The following is a 6,000-nucleotide window of genomic DNA, read 5'->3' as shown; positions in this document are numbered from 1 at the left end:
ACAGACAAGGATAGTGAAGTTCCAAAAGATCACACTGCTAGTAAATTGCCAGAGTGAAAATTTGAGTCCAAGACTGCAGAGTTCATGCCTGTTCCACTATATTATTAATCACTGATGTAGTTCCTCCATATGTTGGTACAATGCAGGATACCATGAAAGGCTTTCAGTAATGGATTACTTCTCATAGGAAGAGAAATGAAGTTTGAAGGATTGTCTGGGTTTACAGAGGGACAATAAACAGTGGAGAATTTTCCAGAAGAGGAAAACAATACAAAGGTAATAGAGGAAAACAAGTGTAGTCCATTTAACAGTAAGGCTACATTTAAATAACTGAGGATTATGTAAATTGCAAAAGATCCAGATTACAAAGACCTGACATGGTTTGAAACAGGGAGTCACTAGACATTCCAGAGCAGAAAACTGAAATGACAAGAATAGTTGAAGCACATATGCTGGAAAGACTATGAACTTGAATAGCACAGGATTTGAATCCTGAACCTGCCCCCTTATGTCTTATCCAGGATAAGTTTCTAAATGTCTCTATCCCTCAGCCTCATCTAGAAAATGATCATTTTACCTTATTTTATGAACAAATTAGATACTGCAGGTAACATGTACAATGCATGGAACATGTGCAATGGATGGAACAGTGTGGCAGTGACAATTGTGATGAATTAGAATAAAGGCAAAGTTACAGTTTCAGAGGCCAGTGGTAGTATCTTCATGACATTATTTTATAAAAAATGTTGGACCTTCAGTAGGATTCAGAAGTAAGAAGACAATATTATCTGTTTTAATGATATGGATATGAGGGAGGACTCGGTGTTTGAAGCCTGAACTCTTAGGGTAACGTTATTAACAGAGACAGTGAAGTTGGCAGGAGACTTCGTTTATTGGAGGGGAAATAGTACGCTTCATTTTGAACATGTGAAATATGAACATCTGAGAGGAAATAAGACAGTGGAAATAAGATGAGTGTTAGGAAAAGGGGTTTTACCTGAAATTTAAAGAATAACCAAGTTGTTTTCGAAGTACATTACTCTTAAGTTTGGAAATAAGTCAGTAGAACCACAAACAAGTATGAGGAAGTACAAGTTTATCAGTAACATACCAAGAGGGAGCCTTCTCTACCAATGCTCATTCTGTTCTGCCTGGTGGCAAATAAAACATTGTCTTTTCAAGAAACACTCTCTCTAGTTTATTGCTTCTATTTAAATACATATAGTGATATTTAAAAAGACTAAAAGAAAATAATCTCATCTGAAACTTTTCACAATAGACTGACTTCTCAGAAACTAATTCACTCTCTTCAATAAGAAAAGCTCAGCGCACTACTTGTGAAAGGCTTCAATCGATTGGTATACTCTATATTAAATGAAAATATGCATAAAAATAATTTGATTTAAAGATCTAAATTTAAAAATTCAGATTTCCAGTTCGTATACATATAAGCAGAGCAAAAATTTCATTAATCTAATAATGGAATTTTCAATTTGCTGGCTAACAAATAAATTGATCTAATTTTTAGAAACTACAAGAACAAATGTGCATGAATTTAACCGTGTTCACCAGGAATCAAGAGGATGAATGTTACTAGGTACAAAGGGTCTTCTGTGTGTGTGACAAGAATCTAGGCAACACCATTATTCATAGGTTAAGGATGCTATTTGCTCCGTATCTGAAAAAAAGAAGATATAAATTCAATGTCTAGAATGTAGCCATGACAGGGAAAATATTAGAGCCACTATTTTAAAATGCAAAGGAAAAATAATAGTATCAATCATAAAATATAGACATTAGCAAATTTACTCCACACATGGAATACAGGCACTACTTTTTTACTTTGATATGTAAATTTAAGCAATTACCCCACAATACCACCTCTGCTAAAGCTTTTCATTTATCAGTAAGATCTTTCACAAAGTTAAAGTATGACAAGTAAATACACAGGATGATATTTTCTGTCTGTTGATCTTTGGCACATTTGTCAAGTTGGAGAATCTCAAAAGGCAATAAAAATTTCTGACTGTTTTGCACATTCTTTTAATCTTTACATCAAAATATAAGGCCGCAAAAAGGCAAGCTGAAATTTTAGGATATGTGGAATAGTTTTAATACAGAGTTTTACATACAGTACCCTTACATATAGAACAATGTGTTTGCAAATTTAAATAATATCTGAATGTACAGTGGCATGTATTCTTATCAAAGATAAATTCAAGTTTACTGTCTATCAGTTCTAAAATGCATTTATACAGATTGCGAGAACTGATAAACAGAATGAGGCATAAAATATTCAAGTGTTATGTCATCAAATAGCCTCCTCTTAACAGTCTTTCTCCCCTTTTAAAAAAATTTCAAAACCTATACATACATTTTTAATTTTTAAAAACAGTCTGTTAAAAGGTAACATTTCATGTTAACCACCAATTCGTATAGTCTATAGTAATAAAACTAGATATGTGATATAAATATGTGTAGATTATGTACATATGTACGTTGAGTGTTTGTTTAAAACAAGCATACACACTTACGCATACCTGCGTATGTAGCACTGGGGGCACATACAACTCACATGAGTACTGGCAGACAGTAGGACCTAGGCTCAAAATCCAGCAAGAGCTAACACAGCAACTTAGTTGCCTTTGGTTTCAGAAATTTGTCCACTTGTGATCAAAGCTAAAAGTTTTGAGTGTGCATGTATTTTTTAAAAATAAAATTCATCTTCAGAAATGAAGCTTTTCCAGTATTCCACTACTAGCAGTTAAAAAAATCCACAGCCACAAATTATTTTGATATTCTGTCACTCCTCATCCCAGCTGAGGTTATTTACAATGTATTTTTTTTTTTCTGAAGGCAAACACCAAGCATACTCAGGATCAAACTGTACGTTGAGCCTGAATACTGCCATTCAACTATATATATGATATATATAGTATAGGTGATATATAGGTTTTGGATGGACTGGTGGCATTATGTAAGACTTAGGGTGGGAGAACTCCCACAATATTTAAAATCCTCTTTCCAGCAGAATCATGATCACTTGGCACATCGGACCCTTCTGCAAGCCAGTTTGTTTTTAATGAGCTTAATGCCTGCAATATATTCCAATTATTTGGTGTTTGTTTTTTAAATACATTCATAATGAAGTAAGAATTCCACAACTGTTTTCCCCAGAAGTGAGATTTCTACTGTCAGTTTTCTGATTGAGAACATTCATCGCCCAAGAAACAGCTCATGATCCTTTAAAAGTTTAAATACCCTAAATTTCCGTACAGCTGGATCAACTGCTGAGAAGACAGTTCTTAGAGCAACCCTGTAGAATTCTCCAGAATTTAAATTTCCTTTACAATTTTGTTTTTGGCCAAGTGCTGGTTTATAAACATAGATCTTTCTATTAAAAACTATACAAATATACCATATTTCTTTCTACAGGTATCTTGAGCTTCACGTAAGCAACTACTCAAAAATTCTGAGAACTTGAAATCCCTTAGTATACATTATATTCTACTTCATTGTTCCTTGGCATATAACACATTCTCATTTGCAGCTTGCTCATGAATTTGTTTTTAAATACTAGCTTCCTTGATAAAGTTGTTCTTCATTTTTCTTTCCAAGGTGCCATCCTATTGACATCACAAATCAGTGAATGACCAGACATTACTAAGCTTTTAAATTATCCACTTAGCCATCACGTGGATAATAAAAATGCTTTGACTGAAGAAAGCCACATTCTTTCATTAAGTGTTCACTGTTGTCATACAGAGCAAAGAGTTGCTATCTGCTGTACTTTGCCCATGTCAATTAGGAGCTGTTTTATGTGGCGTTTAAGTTGGGGCAATCTTGCAAGAGGATCTGGTGGCTCCAACTCCCCTGTGAAATCAAGCCAGCTTTCCAGAACTAAAAGAGAGAAGAAGATAAACAAATTTAAACTGCAACTGGAAGAACAGTCAGAAAATGAAACAATCAGAAAGTTGGAGCTGTGATGGAGTTAAGGGTTCACTTCCCCATCTTTAGAAGGCCAACATACTCAAGACATTTCCGAGAGGTTAGCGTCCTGTCATCCCACCCCACAGAGTTCTAGTCCCTCTTGGCAATTTTTATCTGTCATTTAAGATAATTTTCCCCTTTATATATATAGGAATTATGTATTTTTATATATAAGGGGGAAAATACATATACACACACACATAAACATATACACACACTAACTTCATTTTGAAGGTCTCCTTTTACTCACTTCTGGAATAAGATAACAACAGTTCCCTATGTTTGCTCAAGCTTTCTATTAATTTAGACTCGTCATCTCTACATAAAACATACCTAATCATATTTTTTAATCCAGAAGCTCTTCTTAACAAAGAAAAGGAAGTAGCAATTTCTCAGTGTTCTTTTCAGTTCCACTATTTTAACACTACTTTTTAAAAGACATGCAAGCGTATTAAAATTGTAGGCAGAATGCAATTGATTATATTCTATAGTTTTTATTAATGTTTCCTTTGGAAATCTACCCTAATAATATGAAATAGTATCAAGATGCATTTTCTTTTCTTCAAACATGGACTCAAAACATCACATTAACTCTACAGTTAGCTTATACCCAGATGGAAGAGGCTTCTAAAATGGGTTTCCATTTTCTCTCTTCTTCTCTCAAGGGGGAAAAAAAGGAGTAGGAGCTCTAACTTAGTGTAGAGGAGAGGTATCACGTGCTTATGCCAAATTAAAAAAAGTAAAGTTGGGGTGCAGAATATCGTCTATGATGTTAGGAAGAAACAGGAGTCAGAAAGCATTAAGAACAACATGGACTGAGAATCAGGTAGTCTAAGTTACTCTAGTTTCTCAACTATAAAGTAGTGATAGTATCTTTCTTGCCCACTTTTCAGGCCTCCTGTGTGATGACACAATTTTAAAATATAAAAGAAAACCACTTAAGGTTTACCTACTTAACTTTGTAGAAGTTTTTGTTAATTTAACAAGTGCTAACCAAAGTAAAAAATATTCAAAATGTTTTCACATTTCAAACATGCTTAAATTCCTTATGTTGACTTCCAAAGAAAGCTTAGTTCAATGAAACTAATCAATTTATTCCATAAGTGATCTATCTGGAGCCTGGCAAATAGACAGTATTTAATAAATATCCACCTTAAAAAAGTAAAAACAACCTAAGGTCATACCCGGTCACATTGTTTTAAGCGTAAAAGATCCCAAATGTGTTAAATACAATACAAAGGGAGTAATAAAGCCCCATCGGTATGGAGAGTATCTGCAGTTTTCATCCCATAATTTAAGAATTTTAAGTAACTTCTTCATAGTAACAATAAATTCACTATAGTAACTGTATTTTAGTTCTTTCTTAAATTACCATCGACTTCTTTTTCTATTAGGTCCATCCTGCTGGTAACTTCGTTCTGCACATTTTCTATGTGTGTAAGGAGATTGAGCTGCCACTGAAGATGTGAGTCTCCTGGGTCTTCGGTGCCCTTTTTATCATTATAAACAAATACTGTATTCCCTTCAGCTGGATTCTTCTCCAAAGGACCATTGGAAAATAAACACAAAGAACGGGATGAAATGCAGTCATTGAGTTAAGGATACAGGAAACACCTCATCACTGGTAACAGTTAGTGAGATCCAATCTGACTCCAGGGGTATCTTTAAAGAAGTACTGCTACATAACCAAATTCCAGCTGGTGGTTCTTAAGAGCTGATGCACCCACCACCTCCCTCCACTATGCCTCGCATGGTGCTACACAGGCAAGAAGGCTTCAATAAAATGCGCTAAATAAATGAAGTCACTAATTCTATTGTGTAATTAGAATTCCTGATTAATTTAGACTGGCCTCTTCCTCAATTAATCTCAGCTGGTGATATAAGTGGACATAAGAGTGGAAAGCAATGATGAAAAGAAATCAAGAGCGTTTCCAAAGACCAGTATAAAATCTAATTAACTACAGACTGGACTTTACTGTTATAGTACAGTAAATCAATGAAGGGAGGGAA

At 34.5% G+C, this 6,000-nt stretch overlaps 1 protein-coding gene across 24 annotated transcripts in view; it reads right to left on the bottom strand.

Annotated features, from left to right (window-relative positions):
- Positions 1–873: 873 nt before the first annotated feature.
- Positions 874–6,000, bottom strand: part of PHF20L1 (PHD finger protein 20 like 1) — a 73,420-nt gene continuing 68,293 nt past the window's right edge. For 13 of the 24 annotated variants that reach the window (XM_011517075.1, XM_011517077.1, XM_011517078.1 and 10 more), the window contains 2 exons: positions 5,363–5,528; positions 874–3,900 (listed from right to left, as the gene is read on the bottom strand). In XM_011517075.1, coding sequence (XP_011515377.1) covers positions 3,758–3,900; positions 5,363–5,528 — 309 coding nt within the window. In that variant the 3' untranslated portion in view covers positions 874–3,757. The remainder of the gene's footprint in view (positions 3,901–5,362; positions 5,529–6,000) is intronic. The other 11 variants (NR_156424.2, XM_047421819.1, NM_016018.5 and 8 more) reach the window with 1 other exon arrangement.

This window comes from Homo sapiens, chromosome 8, assembly GCF_000001405.40.
Source record: "Homo sapiens chromosome 8, GRCh38.p14 Primary Assembly".
Lineage (NCBI taxonomy): Eukaryota > Metazoa > Chordata > Mammalia > Primates > Hominidae > Homo > Homo sapiens.
The sequence above is the reverse complement of the archived record's forward strand: the minus strand, read 5'-3'. Positions and strand labels throughout refer to the sequence as shown.